Source organism: Homo sapiens, chromosome 18, assembly GCF_000001405.40.
Source record: "Homo sapiens chromosome 18, GRCh38.p14 Primary Assembly".
Lineage (NCBI taxonomy): Eukaryota > Metazoa > Chordata > Mammalia > Primates > Hominidae > Homo > Homo sapiens.
In genome coordinates this window covers 12,351,525-12,374,669 of record NC_000018.10, presented here as the reverse complement: position 1 = coordinate 12,374,669, position 23,145 = coordinate 12,351,525, and the positions used below count along the sequence as shown (strand labels likewise).

Below are 23,145 nucleotides of genomic sequence, written 5' to 3'. Positions count from 1 at the left end.
TTTCCTTTTGAGTGACACTATTGTCCCTGTATCACTCAGATGCTGATGTATAAGGAAGTCCTCTGTGCTGACAGCTGTAGCTGATTGATTTGCGGAGGGTGTGGGGGTTCGCGGTCCTGATACATACTCTTTGGTACTCTCTGAAGATTTGCCTAGTGACACCTGGGCATTACTGTGCTGTGAGGGAGTCTGATAGGACAGGTTTTCCTTTATGTTCCTGCTACCCTTAAAGATCAGAGACAGAAGTACTGCTTTCACGGTGAGGAAGAGATTCTGATGTGTTGAGAGATGAGTTCTCAGGTGTGATGCCCAGAGGAATAAGACTGATGATAAAGCAACTGAAAAGTGCTCCTGTTGTCAAACATAAAGGCTAATTCTCCAAAATGCGGTGCTCTCAACTTAAATTTTGTGAATTAGTATCTCTTACATTATTCTTTGAATGCTAGACATGCAGATCTTGGATTACATATGCAGAGGAGAAGAAGTTTCATTGATGATTTCTTCATAGAACACAACCTCAGTGTTAAATTCAGTCACGGATTATTGCTAGGGATATTCCATGTCAACACAATTTGAAAATAGAGCCTAAAAAGGGCTTTTCTGTCAATATTTATGGAGCGCATACAGTGCCCTGTTCTGTACTAAACTTTATGGTGATATAAAGACTTGCTTTATATGGTACTATGGTTTGAGTTTGGCCTCACCAAAACTCATGTTGAAATTTGTTCCCCATCGTGGTGGTATTGAGAGGTGGGGCCCAGTGGGAGGTGTTTGGGCCATGGGGGTGGAGCTCTCATGAGTGTCTTGGTGCCATTCTAGAGGTAGTGAGTTCTGTGAGCTGTATTGGGACTGGCTTAATTTCAGAGACCTTAGGTTGTTATAAAGTAGAAGTTCCTCCCTCATGGTATGTGGCTGCTTTGCCATTGACCTTCTCCCACCGTGTTTTGATGTAGCACCTTCTCCTGCCATAATTTGACCTAGCATGTGACCCTCACCATAAGCCCAGCACCCTGTTTCTCATACTTCCCCTCTTGCAGAACTGTGAGCTAAATAAACCTTTCTTTGTAAATTACCCAGCTTCAGGCACTCTGTTATAGCGGAACAGAAAGGACTAAGACTAAGACGTGGCAATATAAAGACCCCTTCATATTACCTCTGCACCACTCCTGTTCCCTGTACTCAGAGCTTTTGTTTGGTTACATTGTTATGCCATAGTGTAACTGATTTGTCCCATGATTTTCTTCCCTATGTTTCTGTGCTTCTTAGGGGTGGGAACTGGTTCTGATTCCCCTTCGGACACCCCACTGCTTGACAGCACCTGGCCTGGAGTTGTTGACTTGTCTAGCTTGAATAACATTTCATTTTAATCTACACCCTTAATGGATTTGGCACTGGAAAAAAACTCTTATGTTGCATTCTTATCTGTTATCAGTGGTTATTTCATAGGCCAAGTGTTCCTGTGGTTGGGCAGGGTGTAACACAACATAAGCTCCAAAGTCTCCCAGGCCAGTATTGCACTCAGACAAAAACAGTGTTGGTGTTCCTGTCCTGTTTTGCTGTGTGGAATTCTGTATTTATTTGAAGTTAAATCATCTCATTCTGTTTTATTTGTTTTTTATTGACATTTTAATTTACAAACCATTGTTCATCTTAAATGTACAGTTCATTGGTTTTTAACATATTCATAAAGTTATGCAACCATCATCACTGTCTCCAATTCCAGAACATTTTCAGCACTCCAGAAAGAAGCCCTGCGACCATTAGTAATCATTTCGCATTTCTCTGTAATCATTCCCCCAACTCTAGGCAACTACTAATGTGTCTATCTCTCTATGGATTTGCCTATTCTAGACATTTCGTATAAATGGAATCATAATATGTGACCTTTTGTGTCTGCCTTCTTTCACTTAATATGATGTTTTCAGAGTTCATCCACGTGTCAGTACTTCATTCCTTTGTTTGAGTGACTGGTATTCTCTTGTATGGGTATACCACATTTTATTTATCTGTTCATCATCAGGTGGTGAACGTTTGGCTTGTTCCTACTTTTTGACTGTTATGAATAAGGCTTCTGTGAACATTTGTGTGCATATTTTTCGTGGACATGTGTTTTCAGCTTCCTTGGGTAGGGATGGCATTGCTGGGTCATATGGTGACCCATAGAGTCATGTGGTACCATTTTGGAGCTCTGTCAAACTGTTTTCCAGAGTGGCTACACCATTTTACATTCTCACCAGCACAGTGTACAGGGCTCCAGTTTCTCACATCCTCACCCATACTTGTCTGTCTTTTTGATTATAGTGGATGTGAGGTGGTTTTATTTGGTTTTGTAATTTTTATAACTATTATTTTATTTTTATTTTTTTGAGACGGAGTCTCACTCCATCGCCCAGGCTGGAGTGCAGTGGCGTGATCTCGGCTCACTGCAACTTCTGCTGCCTGGGTTCAAGCAGTACTCCTGCCTCAGCCTCCCGAGTAGCTAGGATTACAGGCACCTGCCACTGTGCCTGGCTAATTTTTGTATTTTTAGTAGAGACGGGGTTTCACCATCTTGGCCAGGCTGGTCTTGAACTCCTGACCTCGTGATGCACCCACCTCGGCCTCCCAATGTACTGGGATTACAGGTGTGAGCCACTGCGCCTGGCCAGGGTTTGTCTTTTGAATGCTACAAATTAAACAAACATCATCAAAGTGAATGTGTTGTCACATAATTATAATTGGATTGCAATTCTACATTATGTCTGATTTTGAAATATTCTTGTTTTCTGGATAATAATGTGTGTCTCCTGGTTCTTTTGCTGGAATCAGTGGCCTAGTGCTAGGTAATCCTAGTCCTCACTAAGGGAGTCATTCTGTGTTACTTCATAACCACCTGTGGAAGAGAGAGACCTTTCATCTACTTTATGACCAGGAAATGAAGCTCTTTTAAGTTTTTTATCTTGATATAACTATGGTTTTATTTTTATGTCTTGTTGCAGCTTTACCGATTTGTTACAACTCAAGCAAGGGCCAGCAGAAATTCTCTTTTGACAGATATAATTGCTGCTTATCAAAGATTCTGTTCTCGACCCCCAAAAGGTAAATGCTTAGGTGTGGCTGTAGTGTTCTACATTCTTAGGTTGGGTCTTTTGTCTCCTTCTGTAACCCATTCCCCTGCCTCCAACTTATGTCTGATTACAGCGATGAAGATATGTCATCTTCAAATGTAACACATTTGTAGATAATGAAATTGATATGCAAAAAGGAGGCTTTTTCCTTTAACACTTCTGGGTTGTGAACTATATTATTTAGACTTTGATGTACTTGTACACAAGAAATGTTATGCTTTTAGCTTGTGCTTTTTTTTTTTTTTTTGGAGACTGAGTTTGGCTCTTGTCGCCCAGGTTGGAGTGCACTAGTGCGATCTTGGCGTACTGCAACCTCCGCCTTCTGGGTTCAAGCGATTCTCCTGCCTCAGCCTCCCGAGTAGCTGGGATTACAGGCACCTGCCACCACACCCAGCCAATTTTTTGTACTTTTAGTAGAGTCGGAGTTTCGCCATGTTGGGCAGGCTGGTCTCGAACTCCTGACCTCAGGTGATCTGCCCACCTCAGCCTCCCAAAGTGCTGGGATTACAGGCATGAGCCATTGCGCCTGGCCAGCTTGTGCTTTTCAGTGATGCATCAGCTGCTTTGAAAACAAAATGAACACAAACCTGATGAATTTTAGTTTGAAGATAAGTATTTTTTTTCTTTTTCTAACAGGATTTGAAAAATACTTTCCTAATGGAAAAAATGGAAAAAAAGCTAGTGAACCTAAAGAAGTTATGGGAGAGAAAAAAGGTACCTTTTGACAATATTATATTTGAATTTTGTGTTTTCCCCTCATGTATAATGGTGGTAGTTTCCACTGAACAAAGAAAAGAGTTATCAGGCCGGGCACAGTGTCTCACGCCTGTAATCCCAGCCTTTTGGGAGGCCTAGGCGGGTGGATCACTTGAGCCCAGGAGGTTGAGACCAGCCTGGGCAATGTGGTGAAACTCTGTCCCTACTAAAAATACAAAAAATTAGTTAGACATGGTGGTGCACACCTGTAGTCCCAGCTACCTGGGAGGCTGAGGTGGGAGAATCACCTGAGCCCAGCAGGGAGCTGTGATTGTGCCACTGCACTCCAGCCTGGGCAACAGAGAGACCCTGTCTCAAAAAAAAAAGAAAAAAAAAAAAAAAAGAAAGTTATAGTAAGTCAGTTGTGAAGCTGTAGGTTGCAAGTACATATAAAATTCTAGAGACCTTATGTTACATTTCACCTTAATTTTCTGTTGATATTTTTCTGTCATTTTGCAAATTGAAGTAATTTAAGGCTACCTTAGAGGTATTGTCTGGTCAAACTAAGCATATTTGGTAGATATCTGGCACATAATTTAAAACATTGAGAAAAATCGTAGAAATCTAATACATGCAATTTATTTGATACATATTGTGTTTAGGGCAGTGTTTTAAAAATTGCTCCTCAGAGCATTACCTCACCTTAGGGATTCGGAGAGACTTTTTTAGAGCACGGTGGCTGGGGGACTGAGTGGGCCTCCTGTGCCCATTTTGACTGACTTCCTTGCTTTTTTTTTTTTTTTTTTTTTTTTGAGACAGAGTCTAGCTCTGTCGTCCAGGCTGGAGTGCAGTGGCATGATCTTGGCTCACTGCAAGCTCCGCCTCTTGGGTTCGCACCATTCTCCTGCCTCAGCCTCCTGAGTAGCTGGGACTAAAGGCGCACGCCTGGCTAATTTTTTTTTTTTTGTATTTTTAGTAGAGACGGGGTTTCGCTGTGTTAGCCAGGATGGTCTCCATCTCCTGACCTTGTGATCCGCCTGCCTCGGCCTCCCAAAGTGCTGGGATTACAGGCGTGAGCCACCATGCCCGGCCCATCCTTGCTTTTTTAGGGAAATGTAAAGAAAACTGTAATTCAGTTTCTTTTTTTTTTTTTTTGAGGAGGGGTCTCTGTCGCCCAGGCTGGAGTGCAGTGGCACGATCTCACTGCAACCTCTGCCTCTTGGGTTCAGGTGATTCTCCTGCCTCAGCCTCCACAGTAGCTGGGATTATAGGCATGCGCCACCATGCCTAGCTAATTTTTAAGAGATGAGGTTTCACCATGTTGGCCAAGCTGGTCTTGAACTCCTGACCTCATGTGATCCACCCGCCTCTGCCTCCCAAAGTGCTAGGATTACAGGCGTGACCACTGCACCTGGCCTCGAGGAGTCCACGTTTTTAAATGTACTTGTCATCTAGTTGGACAGACAAATATATGCCCAAAGAATGCAAAGGAGTAAGAGCCAGGGGACATGGGGAGGGAGAAGCACTGGTGTGGGCTGGTGACAGCCCCGGGGCTCTAGATTGGAGCAGTACCTACAGTTCTCCCAGTGCATGCTAGGTGGTCTTTGAGTCTTGGTGTGGGGGCCGAGTAATGATAACCCATGCAAGCTTTTGGGTTGCTTTTGTGTGGACATTCCTTTCTCCCTGAGTGGTTTGGAGTGTTGCACAGCTTTAGTGGTGTGCTTACTGCGTGTTTTTTAGTCCTGGGCCTCATTCTGGGGGCTGAGGCTTGTGCATATCATACCTGTCTCAGACTCCACTCGAGACAGAGGTGCAGAAGCCCCTCGTATGCAGCATAGCGGAGTGAATGTGTCATGAAGCCACATGTTACATAGCCACTGAGGATGACCGGGTGCCTGTAGCCTCCCATCCTGCTACACTAGAGGGGTTGCTTCATGGTCACTGAAGACATTAGAAGTGTATTCGGTCCGGGTGCGGTGGCTCAACGCCTGTAATCCCAGCACTTTGGGAGGCCGAAACGGGTGCATCAGCTGAGGTCAGGAGTTGAAGACCAGCCTGGCCAACATGATGAAACCCTATCTCTACTAAAAATACAAAAATTAGCCGGGCATGGTGGCGTGCTCCTGTAATCCCAACTACTTGGGAGGCTGAGGCATGAGAATCGCTTGAACCTGGAAGGCAGAGGTTGCAGTGAGCTGAGATCACGCCATTGTACTCCAGCCTGGGAGGCAGAGGTTGCAGTGAGCTGAGATCACGCCATTGTACTCCACTCTGGGAGACAGAGTGAAACTCCGTCTAAAACAACAACAAGGACTGATTTACAGTTTTCCTTACATACATTTCCCTACAAAGCAAAGATGCCAGCTGAATACCAACTGTGGGTGTGTTTTTTTAGCCATTTGTCAAAACCATGGGCTTTCCTGCACAAGAAAGTGTTAACAATGTATACTTTGTGGGAGTGGGAAAGGGAGTACTTACTTTTGTTTTGTTTTGTTGTTGCTGTTGTTTTTGAGATAAGGTCTTCCTGTTGCCCAGGCTGGAGTGCAGTGGTACAATCACAGCTCACTACAGGCTCAAACTCTAGGACTCAAGCGATTCTCCTGCCTCAGCCTCCTGTGTAGCTGGGACCACAGGTGCACACTACGATGCCTGGCTAATTTTTATTTTATTTTTTTATTTTTTATTTTTTATTTTTTTTTGAGACGGAGTTTCACGCTTGTTGCCCAGGCTGGAGTGCAATGGCGTGATCTTGGCTCACCACAACTTCCGCCTCCCAGGTTGAAGCGATTCTCCTGCCTCAGCCTCCCTAGTAGCTGGGATTACAGGCATGCGCCACCATGCCCAGCTAATTTTGTATTTTTAGTAGAGACAGGGTTTCTCCATGTTGAACAGGCTGGTCTCAAACTCCCGACCTCAGGTGATCGCCCACCTTGGCCTCCCAAAGTGCTGGGATTACAGGCGTGAACCACCGCGCCCGGCCAGAGGCAGGGTCTTGCTTTGTTGCTCAGTCTGGTCTTGAACTCCTGGGCTCAAGGGATTCTCCTGCTTTGGCCCCCCGAAATTCTGGTATTACAGGCATGAGCCACCGTGCGTGGCCAGAACACACTTTAAACTTTGAGTGGGGACTGAGGAATTTGCATCCCAACTCTGTGACTTATTCACTGTCCCCTAACACTGCCACCCATCCAACAAGTTACTTAAGCTATACTTTCTCCCTCTGTGAAGGGTATAACAGTCCTATAATTTCTTGGGTTATTGGGTTATTGTGCATATTTCATGAGATGATGCAAGTATAGCCCTTGGGAGCCTCCCTGATTGGTAAGCTTTGTATTTGTATTCTTTCTCATAGTGCTTCACTTAGTAACTGATCAGTTGCCACAGTGTATTCTGCAATGAGTCTTTTATTAAACCGTATACATGAAGACATTGCTGAGAGAGCTAAAACCTTGCCGTGCTTCTGTGTGTGCTCTTTGTTTATGAACAGAATCAAAGCCAGCTGCTACCACACGCTCTTCTGGAGGAGGAGGTGGTGGCGGTGGAAAACGAGGTGGCAAGAAAGATGATTCTCACTGGTGGTCCAGGTTTCAGAAGGTTTGATGCTATACATTGTGTGAATTTTGAGGTTATGATGGTGGCCCAGAGAAGGTTGGGAGGCATTAGTGTAGTGTTGGAGGGATTTGTGTCTCACAGAGCATAGATCGTATTGTGGAATTTCATTCTTCACAGAAGCTGTCTCCCTCTCTGCCCAGGGTGACATTCCATGGGACGACAAGGATTTCAGGATGTTCTTCCTCTGGACTGCTCTGTTCTGGGGTGGAGTCATGTTTTACTTGCTGCTCAAGAGATCCGGGAGAGAAATCACTTGGAAGGACTTTGTCAATAACTATCTTTCAAAAGGAGTAGTAAGTATTTTATGGGATTGGTGGCTGTTGTGGTTCAAAGGTGAAATTCATCAGATTAGACCAAAGAAGTGACAGTCAGCAGGTTAACCTGGCTCGTCCATTGTAAAATTGTTATTTTCACTCAGATTTTTCTAATGCTGAGAAGTACTGCAACTAGAGAACCCGTGTTTTGACCTGGTGTCCTCAAATTTACCCACAAATTCTTTTATTTCACTACCTCCCAGAACTGGGTTTTGGAACCACTGCTTCTGACCATGGTCTTGGCAGTCCTCTGCTTGCGCCCTTTTCTCACGTGCCCTCAGCTGCCCCTGCTCTGTGCTGTCGTGTGCCAGCCTCTGCCCCTGCTCTGTGCTATCATGTGCCAGCGTCTGCCCCTGCTTTGTGCTGTTGTGTGCCAGCCTCTTTGGGCCCTCTGTGGGTCTTTACTACATTTAGTCACCTGTGGGCGTGGCAGCTAATCAGCGTGTGTTGTCAGAGCAGATGGGGCTCTAAGGGAGGGCCAAGTGGGTGCGTGGTCCCTGCCATTTCTCTGTCTGCGGAGCAGCCTTTGTTACTGTCTGCTGGGCTTGCCCATGTGTGACTATATTCACCACAACCAATGGGAAATAAGTAAGACCATATTTCAGCATATTTAAGATGCTATTGATTGTAAGACACATGGTATTTTATAAGTTGCTAAGACAAATCTAATAAGATGCTGATGAAATTATGACATGCCATCAATTGTAAAATGGATCTCCATTTCTGATGTTAAAATATGAAAAATGTGTGTCTTAGAATTGATGCAGTGGCCGGGCGTAGTGGGTCACGCCTGTAATCCCAGCACTTTGGGAGGCCGAGGCGGGTGAATCACGAGGTCAGGAGATTGAGACCATCCTGGCTAACATGGTGAAACCCCCGAATCTACTAAAAAATACAAAAAATTAGCCGGGTGTGGTGGCACGTGCCTGTAGTCCCAGCTATTTGGGAGTCTGAGGCAGGAGAATGGCGTGAACCCGGGAGGCGGAGCTTGCAGTGAGCCGAGATTGCACCACTGCACTCCAGCCTGGGCGACAGAGCGAGACTCCATCTCAAAAAAAAAAAAAAAAAAAAAGAATTGATGCAGTGTAGTGATAGACACCAGAATTAGGCCTGCTGTGTAGCCTTGGGGAAACCCCTTAACCTCTTAATACTTGGGTTTTCATCCATGAAATGGATAAAGTAAGACGACATGAATACTTACTGAGGTAGTGTAAAGAATTTGAATTCGTTCTGAAGGTTGTGCAGGAAGGTAAGGATGTAAGAAATGGTTATCTACTCAAATGAGCAGCTGCTACTGTGCTAAGAGCTGAAGTTGACTGAGATTAACTTCAGTTTATGTTTCCCCTGGAAGTTGGAAACCTTCAGTGGACTCCAGAATTCCAAAATGCTTACATCGGACAGATCCTGCCTGTACCATTGTCCTGTGCGTAGGGAGATGGGTTCCTGGTGCTTCCTTATGCCACCATCTTCCAGAGTCCTTTTATCTAGTTGGATTTTTGAAACATGTTTATCTTATGAAAGTGAGGATCTTATATGTGTAATTCTCAGATGTAGTGGGGACTCCCACTCAGAAGCTGCTCAGAAGCAGTGGTCATTGCGTGTGGACTGGGCTGCAGCCGTCCTTCTGATTGGGATGGCAGGTCCTCGAGGTGGCTTCTCCATAGCTGCAGCTCCTCCTGACCCTCTGGCTCTTTGGCATTAGTCTGCTGTCTCCCCAGCGGGTGTCTGTGGGGTGGAGCAGTGCCAGTCATTCCTCTCTGACAGAGACTGCCTTTAAGAACAGTTGCTCCCCGATTCCAGCCCCTCTGGGATTGCTCTGGGGCTCCTTTGCTTTTTGTTTGTCATTCTTGCCTTCCAGACTTGCTGACAAAGCAAGCAGTTAGAAATAAGCACATCCCAGAGCGCTCATGCTCCTAAACCAGTTACAGTCCTTGGGATGTGGTGTTTTAACAGTGTTACTAAGAATCCTATGTAGGCTGGCCGTGGTGGCTCACACCTGTAATCTGTGCACTTTGGGAGGCTGAGGTGGGAGGATCACTTGAATCTAGGAGTTCGAGACCAGCCTGGGGAATGTAGGGAGACCCCATCTCTACAAAGAAATGTAAAAAAATTGGCCATCTGTGGTGGCTTGCATTCTTAGTCCCAGCTACTCAGGAAGCTGAGGTGGGAGGATCTCTTGTGCCCAGAGAAGTTGAGGCTGCAGTGAGCTATGATTGTACCACTGCACTCCAGCCTGAGTGAAATCCTGTCTAAAAACAAATAAAAAAAGGATCCTATATAACTAGGTGATTCAATTTAAAAAAAAGCTTAAACTATTTTATATTTATAGAGTGACAAAAATTAAGAAGTCTTATACTACCAAATGTTGGTATGTCCTATAGAGCGATAGGCTATGTCCTATAGAGCAATAATAATGTTTTGCTCATGGCAGTGTGAATTGGGGAGCCATTTTGGAGAGCAATTTGGCAATATCTAGTAAAGTCAAAGGTATGTATACCCTGCAACACAGCCTTAGTGTGTCTATCTACAGGTGTGTTTCCTGGAGAAGTTTTTTAAGATGTGCCCACAAAGGTAGATATGGGAATGTTCGTAACAGCATTGCTTGTGAGAAATGTGTAACAGGCTAGCTGTCTGTTAACAGGAGGATGGATCAGTACCTTGGGTGTGGTCATAGCATGGCGTACCCTGCAGCACGGAAGTGTCAGCTTGCGTAAACCTCACAAATGCAATGTTGGAGGGAAAAAGAAAGTTGTAGAAGAATACTTATATATAAAACAAGACCATTTTTAAAGTTAAAAACAGGCAGAAGGGAATGTGCATATCGTGTAGGGTTACCTTCATGTGTAGTGCAAGTGTAAGGATGTGGTTTGGGCAATGCAGCCCCTAAATGAGAGCATAGCCCCCTTTGGGAGGGGATGTGCCTGGGAGCTTCTGCAGAATTATAGGGGGGAACATGGGGGCATCTTTATCTGATTCTTTATTCTTTCCTTGTGTGGCTGAAACATCATATGCATTTTAAATGAGCTTAAAAGAGTATCTCAAGTATTTTCTGTGAATTTATGTGTGAATTTATTTTTAAAATTCTAGGTAGACAGATTGGAAGTCGTCAACAAGCGTTTTGTTCGAGTGACCTTTACACCAGGAAAAACTCCTGTTGATGGGGTAAATCATTTTATTAATTGATGTGAATTAGTTGTAAATTAACTTTTTCAGATTTAAAGCTGAAAGGAAAACCTGCCTCATACTCTAGGAGTTATACGCACCAGATATATCAGAACTGGGCAGTGTGGCAGGGGTGATCTTACTAACATCAGTGGAAATGGGAATGTTGTGTATGGATTATTGATATAGGGATTGGGTCATTGTTTTGTTTTGTTTCTGATAATCATTTTGACTACATTAAGAAGACAGTGAGTGAAATCCCAGTTTTCAGTATTCCAGAATAGTCTGTGACTTTTCAAGACTGAGAAGTAGTTATTTGATTAGGAAAAAAAATTAAAATCTCAATTGCCTATGTTTTGAGACAGCTTTTATCAAATTAGTTTAAAAGCATCCCCACCATCTCCCAACCATTTTGTGATATTATATTGTTTTAATTTCCATTTGATTTCCTATTTTAAAAATAATTTGTAGTTCCTCTCCAACCAGTCTGGAATATACTTCCAGAGACCCCAGAGCAAGCTGAATGCATTGAGGGAATTCTGGAGGGGAGGGGAGAGAGGTGAAGCTGAGGCTCCCAGGACTTGCTAGGCTCCCTTAGGATAATTGTGTTTAACCATTTTCTAGCCATCCCGCCTGGACAGGGCAACATTTAAGGACAACTAGAAGTGATGGTGACCATATCTCTCTGTTTAATTGCATGTCAGCAAATAGCAGAATGTCTGTAAAGTCACAGGGCTCTGGTGTTGCCCTGTGTTTGGGAAGGTATTTTAATTGTCTTGATTTCCCATTCCCTCTACCTAGTGATGCAATGCCTATTAATAACCGTGCTTTATCCTCAGACTTTAGTGCTGGGAATTAAGTTGGCACTTTCTCATGAGGCCGGTAGGCAACGTGTGTTCCAGCACTGTGGGAAGCACACACACACCCATCCCTCTGCTTCTAGGAGGGAAGCCTAGGGAGAAAGTAGGGATGTGTGTGGGATGTCTCTGCAAGGACGTCCTCTCACACATTGTCTATACGTAGCAAAAAATGAGAAATAGCCCAGCGGCCCATGTCAGGCACAGGGTTAACAGGGAATCCTTGTTCCCTGTTCTGTTTCCGGCTGAGCAGTTGTCCTTGGGGGCAGTGCCGTCCCTACGGGTGATTTTGACATTGGCGGGAACTTGTTTTCCAGTGTTGGCATGCACAAGCATTTATGTGTTGAAATTCATACCATTGTATATAAAGTGCTTTCTTTGTATTTCTCTTTTATATTACAGTTAAGGTTTATATTGATTTCTTTTCAAAATTGTATTTCAAGATTGTAAAGGTGGCATTATACAGTCTTGAGGGACAGGCCTGAAATGCTGATGTTGTTTGTGTCTGAATGTTGGGGTTATGGATGTCTTTGCTTTCTGTATGTGCATATCCCAAGTTTTTACAGCGAATGTATATTACCTGCTTACTAAAGACTTCTTGTTTTGAGCTTTCAGAAACAGATTTTCAGTGTCTTGCTGTGAATGGAGCAGCAGTATTAATCACTGTGCAGTGCTGCACACACACAGCCTTTAGCCTTACATCAGTTCTACTCTTGACTAGTAGATGGCTTACCTTCTCTGTGACAGTAGAGAAGGGCTTAATGCTTAAATGAGATAGGGTGAGTCAGTCGTGGTTTTCAAATTTTAGTGTGCATAAAAATTGTCTAGAAAGCTATTAAAACTTGAGTCCTGGGACCCCATCCCCACAGAGGTTCTTATCTAGATTGTGTTCTGAGAATCTGCATTTCTAACATGCTGCTGGGTGGCACTATGCTGCTGGTCCTGGGTTCACACTGCTTCTGTGATGGGAGCCAGGCGTTTGGCCCATTGCCCAGTTGATAGCAGGGGCTGAGTTGGGGAATGTTCCATCCTCTGTGGTTAATCTATTCTGAGCAGGTTTTGGGGCTTTGTAACCATGTGAATTTTGTATCTTTGTTGGTGAATAATTTACCAAATACTGTTATGTTGTTATATAATATAAAACTTACTCTTCATCTTTTATTTTTAGATACTTGGAGAGAAATACCAAAGTAATGTTCCTCACTCAGTAACACTGGTTGGAAGGATATGCGATGACTTGTTGCTCTCTATGAGGTTTTGTTTTTTTGTTTGTTTTTTGAGACTGAGTCTGACTTTGTCGCCCAGGCTGGAGTGCAGTGGCGCGATCTTGGCTCACTGCAACTTCCGCCTCCCAGGTTCAAGAAGTTCTCTGCCTCAGCCTCCCAAGTAGCTGGGATTGCTGGTGCCTGCCACCATGCCTGGCTAATTTTTTGTATTTTTAGTAGAGACGGGGTTTCACCATCTTGACCAGGCTCATCTTGAGCTCCTGACCTTGTGATCCACCCGCCTTGGCCTCCCAAAGTGTTGGAATTACAGGCGTGAGCCACTGCACCCGGCCTTGTTTTTTATTTTGAAATGGAGTCTCGCTCTGTTGCCCAGACTGGAATGCAGTGGCACAATCTTGGCTCACTGCAACCTGTGCCTCCCAGGTTCATGCCTCCCAAGTAGCTGGGCCTATAGGTGGGTGCCACCATGCCTAGCTAATTTTTGTAGTTTTAGTAGAGACAGTTTGAGACCATGGTGGCCAGGGGGGTCTCAAACTCCTCACCTCAGGTGATCTGCCACCTGGGCTTCCCAAAGTGCTGGGATTACTGGCCACTGTGCCCAGCCTCTCTAATGAGTTTTATATGATAGACTTACTGTTTTGATTTAAAAAATACTTTTCTAAAAAAAGATGATTGCAGGTTAGAGGAGAAACAAAGTTTTTTTGTACTATAAAATGGAGCTAATACATGCACAGTGCTTGAAATGGGGTCTTCTAGCTAGTAAACTCCATAAATGTGAGCTGTTAAAATCAGTGTCCTCATGGTTGTGTAAAGGCAGTGTGACATTGTGGTTAGGACACTGGTTCAGGAGCCAGACTGTCTGGGTTCAGATCCCAGCCTCTTATTTCATGTGTGACCATGAGCAAGTTTTGTCATCTGTAGAATGGAAACAGGAGTCAGGGCTCATATTCAGTCAGTAGACACGAGTACAATAGGAAATAATTATGTGCTGATTGGTAGAATAGCCTTGACCTGGCCCCTGAGGTGTCCCTGTGCTGGGCCCTCTGGGTCTCTGCAGCTCTAGAGAATAAAGAGGGAGTGCCTGGCACAGCAAGGCGCATCTGTTCCAGTTGCACAGTGGGGTGCGGTGCTCGGATTTTGAACATCACCCCCAGTGATGGCACCTGCTTCTTAGGATGGTCCTCAGGATTGAATGAACTAATGCATCTGAAGGGCCCAGAACAATGCCTGGTACTTAGTACATGCCCAGTAAACTTTAGCTCTTATCCCTGTTTCACAGTAGTTTTAAATTTGGGAATAGGGAGCTAAAATACCTAGGAAATAGAGGAAGAGGGAAATAATGCATATTTATTTTAAAAAGGATTACGTTTTCAAATAGGTTTTTCATTCTGTTTTTTGAGTTTATAATTTTAGAGCCACTGAGATATTGCTGCTAAAGAAATGCTTATTTGCCAAGAATTGCCAAGTGTTCTCAATGAGTGACATTTAATCACCACCATTATTAAAGCCAGTCTTTTATTATTGTTTATTCTTTAATTTATAAATTTTCAGTATTTCTGGAAAATTCTTAAAAAGTTGAACCGTTTAGTGAATTGAACCTTTTAGTTTCACTACATTCTTAGGATATTTGTTTTTTTGTTTTTATAGCAATACGTTTGGTTTAATATTGGCAGTGTGGACACCTTTGAACGGAATCTGGAAACTTTACAGCAGGAATTGGGCATAGAAGGAGAAAATCGGGTGCCTGTTGTCTACATTGCTGAAAGTGATGGGTAATCTCAAATATAATATTTTGTAGACTGTTGACTGTGCTGCCTGTGGTTCACTGTGTTCTGTCCCTGGGTGCAGGGCTATACATTATATTCTCAAACAGGCCTTTATCAGTTTGGCCAGATTTTTAAAAAACTATTAGTAACTCACTAGTTTTTGCATGACTCATTCATTTTCTTTTTTTTTTGAGGTGGGGTTTCGCTCTGTCGCCCAGGCTGTAGTGCAGTCGTATGATCTTGACTCACTGCAACCTTTGTCCCCACCCCAGTTCACGCGATTCTCCTGCCTCAGTCTCCAGAGTAGCTGGGATTATAGGCTTCCACCACCATGCCCAGCTAATTTTTGTATTTCTAGTAGAGGCAGGGATTCACTATGTTGGCCAGGCTGGTCTTGAACTCCTGACTTCAGGTAATCCACCTGCCTCCGCCTCCCAAAGTGCTGGGATTACAGTTGTGAGCCACCACACCTGGCTTTTTATCTTTATTTTTATTTTTATTTTTATTTTTGATTCATTCCTTTTGTACACATTTATACTTATCTTGATGAAGCAGTGGTTTAGGGTATTAACATTCAATGCATTGACCTTTGGTAGGATTTTAGCATAAAGAACCCCTTTGTATCAAAGAGTGCCATTCCCATCTTTGAACTATCATTTATGTTTACATTTCACAGTTTTCCAGGATTTTTAGGTGATTCTTCTCTCATCAGAACTTCTTCTTTGGGGGTTGTCTTTAATAAGACCATGTTAGTAACCCCACTTAAAGTCTGGGCAGATGCTCCATTTATTTCGAAGAGTTGGTTGCCATGGAGCTTATTTGGGAATTCTGTTGCCTTTGAAGAACACTTGCAAGTTACCCTCCTTTGTATTAAGTGCAGAAGGTATACCTTGGTGTAGCTATATATATTTATATTGATATCTTGCACCACATGTGAAAGCTGGAGGTGAGCAGCCAGTCCTAACCCGTGTTGCGCTGTGTGTCCCCAGCTCTTTTCTGCTGAGCATGCTGCCTACGGTGCTCATCATCGCCTTCTTGCTCTACACCATCAGAAGAGGGCCTGCTGGCATTGGCCGGACAGGCCGAGGGATGGGCGGACTCTTCAGTGTCGGAGAAACCACTGCCAAGGTCTTAAAGGATGAAATTGATGTGAAGTTCAAAGATGTGGCTGGCTGTGAGGAGGCCAAGCTAGAGATCATGGAATTTGTGAATTTCTTGAAAAACCCAAAGCAGTATCAAGACCTAGGAGCAAAAATCCCAAAGGTAAAATGAAATTTAAGATTAACTTTTTGAAATGTTTCTTGATCTCTGAAGTTATAATTCTGTGAAGTTTGATTACTTATTATAGATAGCTGTTTTTCTGTCCTTCCTCTTTCTCAGCTTACTAGGCTAGCCTCTGCCCAACTCGAGGATCGTTTTGGGTCAGTTCTGTGTGCATGTGTCTTGTATAGTGTATGTATTCCTGAAAATATCTGTGTCACCTCCTCTTGGAAGATTTTCTTGATTCGTCTTCCTTTTCCCTCCAATCTGATTTAGATGCCCTATCTCTCAGCAACTGTAGGCCCGCTGTAGCTCACTGACAATGTCACACTCTGCTGTCACCCAGTGTCCCTTCGAGGGATGTATGTGGACAGGACACCTGTGCTGGCGCTGAGGTTCACGGCACAGGATCCAGTGGAGAGGACACAGCACTCACCATCACCTTCCCCTTTCCAGCAAATATGCTCTTGCCCACTGTGCTAGTGGTGGGCTGTACCCTACAGGGCTTGGTGCCCCTAGGGCTAGGCGTGGAGCATTAACTTCATATTTGTTAAATGGATCAGCTATTAAGTAAATGAATAAAAAGGTATAATTCTTTTAAAAGTCCATGAATAAATTTTACTTTAAAGGAATCCTTTGAAAGATAATCATTTCCTTGATTTTTATGTCTTACTTCTATAGATAAAAAGTCATATTTTATGAATTTATAACTTACTTAGTACCCGTTTGCATTACACCTAACTGTCTCTACAACTTAATATAATAGTTGTGTAGGGCCAGGCGCAGTGGCTCACTCCTGTAATCCCAGCACTTTGGGAGGCTGAGGTGGGTGGATCACCTGAGGTCAGGAGTTCGAGACCAGCCTGGCCAACATGGTGAATCCCTGTCTCTACTAAAAATACAAAAAATTAGCTGGGCATGGTGTTGTGCGCCTGTAATCCCAGCTGCTCAAGAGGCTGAGGCAGGAGAATCGCTTCAACCTGGGAGGTGGAGGTTGCAGTGAGCCGAGATCGTGCCATTGCACTCCAGCCTGGACAAGAGTGAAACTCTATCTCAAAAAAAAAAAAGTGTATTGTTTGAGCAAACACATCTTTCTTTGAAGTTAAGTTCATCATTGGTCGTTAGATTTCTACTTCATTTGTGAAACTTTTAAAGAAGAAAATAAGCAAAATTTTAAAAATACCTTAAGGTTTTATTACAAAGCCTAGAAAAAATATCATTTGACCATATTATCTACCTCCTCACAGTATTTGGATATGGTAGTGTGGTAGTATGTCTATAAATAAGAGAGGATACTGTTTGTGGGTAGTCAGTGGAAATAAAAACAAATTCACAGTTAGGTTTTAAGTTGCACGTCCAACCATGCTAAAAATGTACTGATTTGTACATGAAAGTAGAAGTCAGAAGTTGGGTTTATTAATTATTTGAGCTCAAAAACCAATTTTACTTGTAAAGAGTAAAAGAATTACATAAATCAGGAGTGTGGTGTTGGTGTCTTCTTAAATTATTTAAGTAAACCTTAGCAGATTTATTAGTATATTCCTAGCCCAAGTCACCCTTTACATACTGTTAGACTAAAGGTCTAAAAATCAGCCCTAGGAAAAAAAGGAAATATTTTAAATTTCACATTCTTACCAAATTTTTTGAAACAAAATTATTTTTGATAATCTTTTTATTCTTACTAATATAAAAATGTTCTACCATAGCTCAGATGTTTAAGTAATATTTAATATATATCAATAAGATTTAGAGACAGAGTTATATCTTGTAATTATTTGTGGATACACAATTTACTTTTCTGGAATTCTCATTAAATGTAATTTCTTTTTTCATATCTGAAGGGTGCCATTCTCACTGGTCCTCCAGGCACTGGGAAGACGCTGCTAGCTAAGGCCACAGCCGGAGAAGCCAATGTCCCCTTCATCACCGTTAGTGGATCTGAGTTTTTGGAGATGTTCGTTGGTGTGGGCCCTGCTAGAGTGAGTCTCATTCTGTTCGGATGGTACAGCTTCCTTGCACCCACCACTTCACCACAGATGGAGGCACTTGCTAGAGATGGCCCTTCCCCCTAGAGTGCTAGAGTGACCTCTCACCAGTCCCTGGCCTGAGCTCTCCTCCAGGCCTAAGACTTCAGCAAGGCCTGTGACTTCCACCCCACCTTCCCTCGCACCAGCTAGGACTGCAGTCTGCTACCTATAGTAGACCAATTTAAAGAATTGACGGCTGGGCGCGGTGGCTCATGCCTGTAATTCCAGCACTTTGGAAGGCTGAAGTGGGTGGAACGCTTGAAGTCAGGAGTTCGAGACCAGCCTGGCCAACATGGCGAAACCCTGTCTGTACTAAAAATAGAAAAATTAGCCAGGCGTGGTCGCGCATGCCTATAATCCCAGCTATTTCGGAGGCTGAGGCAGGAGAATCTCTTGAACCCAGGCGGCAGAAGTTGCAGTGAACCAAGATGACACCACTGCATTCCAGCCTGGGCAACAGAGTGAGACGCTGTCTCAAAAAAAAAAAAAAAATTTTGCTTTATTTGTGGATTTTTTTTTTTTTTGGTGACAACATTTATTGAGATATAATTGACATACCAAACAATTGATCCCTGTAAAGTATACAGTTCAGTAGCTTTTAGTAATTCACAGATTTGTGCAACCATCACCACAATCAGTTTTACAACATTTCCATTACATCAAGAAGAAATCGTGGCCGGGCGTGGTGGCTCACACTTGATATCCCAGCACTTTGGGAGGCCAAGGCAGGCGGATCAGGAGGTCTGGAGATCGAGACCATCCTGGCTAACATGGTGAAACACCATCTCTACTAAAAAAACAAAACCAAAATTAGCCATGCGTGGTGGCGGGCGCCTGTAGTCCCAGCTACTTGGGAGGCTGAGGCAGGAGAATGGCGTGAACCTGGGAGGCAGAGCTTGCAGTGAGCTGAGATCACGCCACTGCACTCCAGCTTGGGTGACAGAGTGAGACTCGTCTCAAAAAAAAAAAAAATATGTAAATCGGGAGTCCTAAGCAAACTACCCAAAGGAATTTCCTAGTACAGACATTCCATGTAAATGAAATTATACAATATGTGGTTTTTTTATGCCTGATTTCTTTCACTTAACATGTTTTTGAATGGTAACTCCATGTTTAACATTTTAAGGAACCACCAGACTGTTTTCCAAACTACTTGCCCATTTTCCATCCCTACCAGCAATGTGTAAGGGGTTCTGATGTTTCCCCGCCCTTACCAACACTTTGATGATAGCCACCTTAGTGGGTGTGATGTAGTATCTCGTGGTTTTGATTTGCATTTCCATGATGAGGAGTGATGTTGAACATCTTGTATATGCTTATTGGCCATTTGTATATTTGTATATCTTCCTTGGAGAGTTGTCTATTCAGATCCTTTGCTCATTTTTTAATTGGGTTTTTTTGGTTGTTGAATTGTAAGAGTTCTTTTTTTTTTTTTTTAATTTTTTTTGAGATGGAGTCTTGCTCTGTCGCCCAGGCTGGAGTGCAGCGGCATAACCTCTGCCTCCCGGGTTCAAGTGATTCTGCCTCAGCCTCCCTAGTAGCTGGGATTGCAGGCACCCACCACCATGCCCAGCTAATTTTTGTATTTTTAGTAGAGATGGGGTTTCACTATGTTGGCCAGGCTGGTATTGAACTCCTCACTTCAGGTGATGCACCCCCTGCCTTGCCCTCCTAAAGTGCTGGGATTACAGGCGTGAGCCACCTTGTCCGGCCTCACCTTCACATCTATTTCACACTTTGCTGTTGTTGTGCAGATAAGTCATAGAAAAATAGGGAATGAGGGGGAGTTGGGTGTTAATGATGATGGGCCATGAGATATAAAGTGGATGGGGGGAAATTGAAGACAGGAGAGGAGCTGTGGGGGGTGGTGGGGAAGGGTGGGCCTGGTGGGTTGCAGAGCTGAGAAGTGGTAAAGAGTTGGCGTGAGATACCTGAGTGTGTCTGTGGGTCCAGATGATAGGAGGGGGTGCTCAGAGAGTAGATGACTTGAAGATGGTGGTTTAAAAGGCAACCTTGGCAGTGCTGGTCTTGTCAGAGTGAAGTAAAAGGTGAATGAAGGGGTGGTCAGGGAACTGAGAGACCGAGAGCCACATGGATGGAAATCACTGAGGACATCATGCCTAGTGGCAGTCAGGCTGGGGGAGACCCATGGCACAGTGGGGTGGAGTGCCTGCCACAAGGCCTGAGCCTCAGCAAGCAGGGGCTTTTCCAGCAGTTATTTTGGCAGCAGCAGTGGGGTGTGAGGTGGACCCCAGCTCCAGTTAGCCTGTAGGGGAAGATGCAGACTCCTGCTTAAGGCTTGCTGGAATGGCTGAGTTCCTGTTCATGCCGGGATGGGATGGATGTACTATGAAGGTGTGGGTCTGTAGGTCACAGATCTGGAATTCAGAGGGGAGGCTGGAGAAGGATACCAGTTATTTTAGGGGATGTGTTCAGAGCAGTGTAGGAATGAACATCCAGAAATCCAGGCAGGAAGACCTGGACTTCTGTCCAGTGAAGTGGGGGGGGGGGGGTGGGAGTGGGCAGGTGGAGAGTTGTCTCTGATTCTCCTTGAAGGGGCAGGTGACTGATGGTGAGGTGCTGAGTGGCTCTTCCTCCTCTTCCTGACTGCAGGTTTGTCTGAGGGTATGTGCTATCAGGATGGTCTGTGGTGGGGTGGGTGGCAGACGAAGGCTGTCACCCCCTCTTTGGGGATGAGCTGATGGGCTTGGATGGTCTTTGGCTTCACTGTATATGTGTGATTGCATAGACTCCTTAGTAGCCTCAGCTTGTTAATAACTGTGTTAGGCATGAAATGTGAACTCTAGAGAAGTCTGAACTTTTCAACTGAATGTAAAGTTTACAGCTCTACTGTGTTGTCTTTGTTTAGGTATATATGTAATGTTAATTTGTTGATGTTACAAAAATAGCAGATATTATCAGTGTTTATTACATATACAGTAATTTATGGGATCTGAGAAAGATTTGCTCACCTTAAGTCGGTTACCCAGGTTACTCCTCATTTGCTGCTGCTTTGCTACTTGTAACTCTTTTAAAAAATGTACCTTACAGTGTGTATCACAAAAAGATTGTCTGCACATGGGACGGGAAGCTGAAGATTTATTTCATTTTTTTTTTTTTTTTTTTTTTTTGAGACAGAATTTCGCTCTTGTTGCCCAGGCAGGAGTGCAATGGCTCAGTCTCAGCTCACTGCAACCTCTGCCTCCCAGGTTCAAGCGATTCTCCTGCCTCAGCCTCCTGAGTAGCTGGGATCACAGGCACGCGCCACCATGCCTGCCTAATTTTGTATTTTTAGTAGAGATGGGGTTTCTCCATGTTGGTCAGGCTGGTCTCGAACTCCTGACCTCAGGTGATCCACCAGCCTCGGCCTCCCACAGTGCTGGGATTACAGGCATGAGCCACTGTGCCCGGCCGATTTATTTCATTTCTTATTCAGAGAATACATAATATTCTCTGGTCAGGTGACTCTCTTTCTGTTTTTGCCAAGGTCCGAGACTTATTTGCCCTTGCTCGGAAGAATGCCCCTTGCATCCTCTTCATCGATGAAATCGATGCGGTGGGAAGGAAGAGAGGAAGAGGCAACTTTGGAGGGCAGAGTGAGCAGGAGAACACACTCAACCAGCTGCTGGTGGAGATGGATGGTGAGTGGTCAAGGCTTTTGTATCTTTAACTGCACTTTTGTTTTTTTTTTTGAGATGGAGTCTGACTCTGTCGTCCAGGCTGAAGTGAGTGGTGTGATTTCGGCTCACTGCATCCTCTGACCCCTGGGTTCAAGCGATCCTCCTGCCTCAGTCTCCTGAGTTTAAGCTGCACTTTTTATGCCTTTCATGTCCCCAAAATGAGAGTCCTTATTCCAATATTGAGTATCACAAACAAAAAAAAGCATTCCCTAAAACAAACAGCTCTTTTAAAAGGCCCTTTTATACTAATACAAATAATAGCAAAATATTTTTTCCTGGCAGCCTGCATAACTTAATATCGGTGTTAACATGCTGTTTGTGTCTGGTGTTTGAATAAGAGAAGAATTGGTGAAATGAGTCACAAAAGAATTACCATCTCATTCTCTAAATCATCACCATCTCTGAAGCATAAGGAAAATCTAAGCCTAACCAAGTGTGAATTTAGCAAATTTTGAATACTTTTTTACTAAGAGAGTAGCAGTCTTTCCATGCTAGCCAGCTTTTATTTCATTTAGGAAAGCCACTTCTCAGGATGTCATGTGTTCTTCCTGCTGGAAGATAAAAATGTGGATGCTTGGTTGTTTGTGCAGAAAGGGGAAGCACAGTGCCAGTACTGAACTGGCTTCAATGATGAAGCCAGGCATAGGGGCAGAATAAGGAGGTAGAAAGCCTCCTCCGTCCCGCGATGGTCAGCCCCTGTTGCGTTCACATTGGAGCACCACATCTGAGGGAAATTCACCCAGGAGCTCCTGCCGTGCCAGGGTCCTGAGGGTGAAGGGCCTGGGACCATGGCATTTACACTGAGAAATGGGCAGTAACACTGAGCCATTTGAGTGTGGAGAAGAGGTGGGAGGTAGAGGTTGATCTCTGCCTTCAGATAGGCAGTTGGTTGTCCTGTGGCCCAGGGTGTCAGACACATCCTTTGCCAATTTAATCTGATTTTAAGACATTTTTAAAATTGACATTATCTGTTAAATTTCTAGTTAAATTTAAATATTTGGTCATTTGTCTTTAGGAAATTTACTCGTAAAACTTTTAAGTCTAATATATGATTATTTTCAAGGACGAGCTGAATAGTAAAAAAATAATTCAAGTTTGTAACTTAAAAAACACTGGATAGGCCAGGGGCGGTGGTTCACGCCTGTAATCCCAGCACTTTGGGAGGCCCAGGCGGGTGGATCACCTGAGGTTAGGTGTTCGAGACCAGCCTGACCAACATGGAGAAACCCTATCTCTACTAAAAATACAAAAATTAGCCAGGTGTGGTGGGGCATGCCTGTAATCCCAGCTACTCGGGAGGCTGAGGCAGGAGAATTGCTTGAACCTGGGAAGCGGAGGTTGCAGTGAGCTGAGATCACGCCATTGCACTCCTGCCTGGACAACAGGAGTGAAACTCCGTCTCAAAAAAAAAAAAAACAAAAAACACTAGATAATGAATAGA

The 23,145-nt window shown here is 43.9% G+C and overlaps 1 protein-coding gene across 2 annotated transcripts in view; it reads left to right on the top strand.

Annotated features, from left to right (window-relative positions):
- The window catches only part of AFG3L2 (AFG3 like matrix AAA peptidase subunit 2), a 48,284-nt gene that overhangs the window by 2,558 nt on the left and 22,581 nt on the right, over window positions 1–23,145 (top strand). For both annotated transcript variants that reach the window (XM_011525601.4, NM_006796.3), the window contains exons 2-10: window positions 2,979–3,078; window positions 3,744–3,821; window positions 7,288–7,394; window positions 7,553–7,705; window positions 10,814–10,888; window positions 14,619–14,743; window positions 15,727–16,000; window positions 17,839–17,976; window positions 21,512–21,665. In XM_011525601.4, coding sequence (XP_011523903.1) covers window positions 2,979–3,078; window positions 3,744–3,821; window positions 7,288–7,394; window positions 7,553–7,705; window positions 10,814–10,888; window positions 14,619–14,743; window positions 15,727–16,000; window positions 17,839–17,976; window positions 21,512–21,665 — 1,204 coding nt within the window. The remainder of the gene's footprint in view (window positions 1–2,978; window positions 3,079–3,743; window positions 3,822–7,287; window positions 7,395–7,552; window positions 7,706–10,813; window positions 10,889–14,618; window positions 14,744–15,726; window positions 16,001–17,838; window positions 17,977–21,511; window positions 21,666–23,145) is intronic.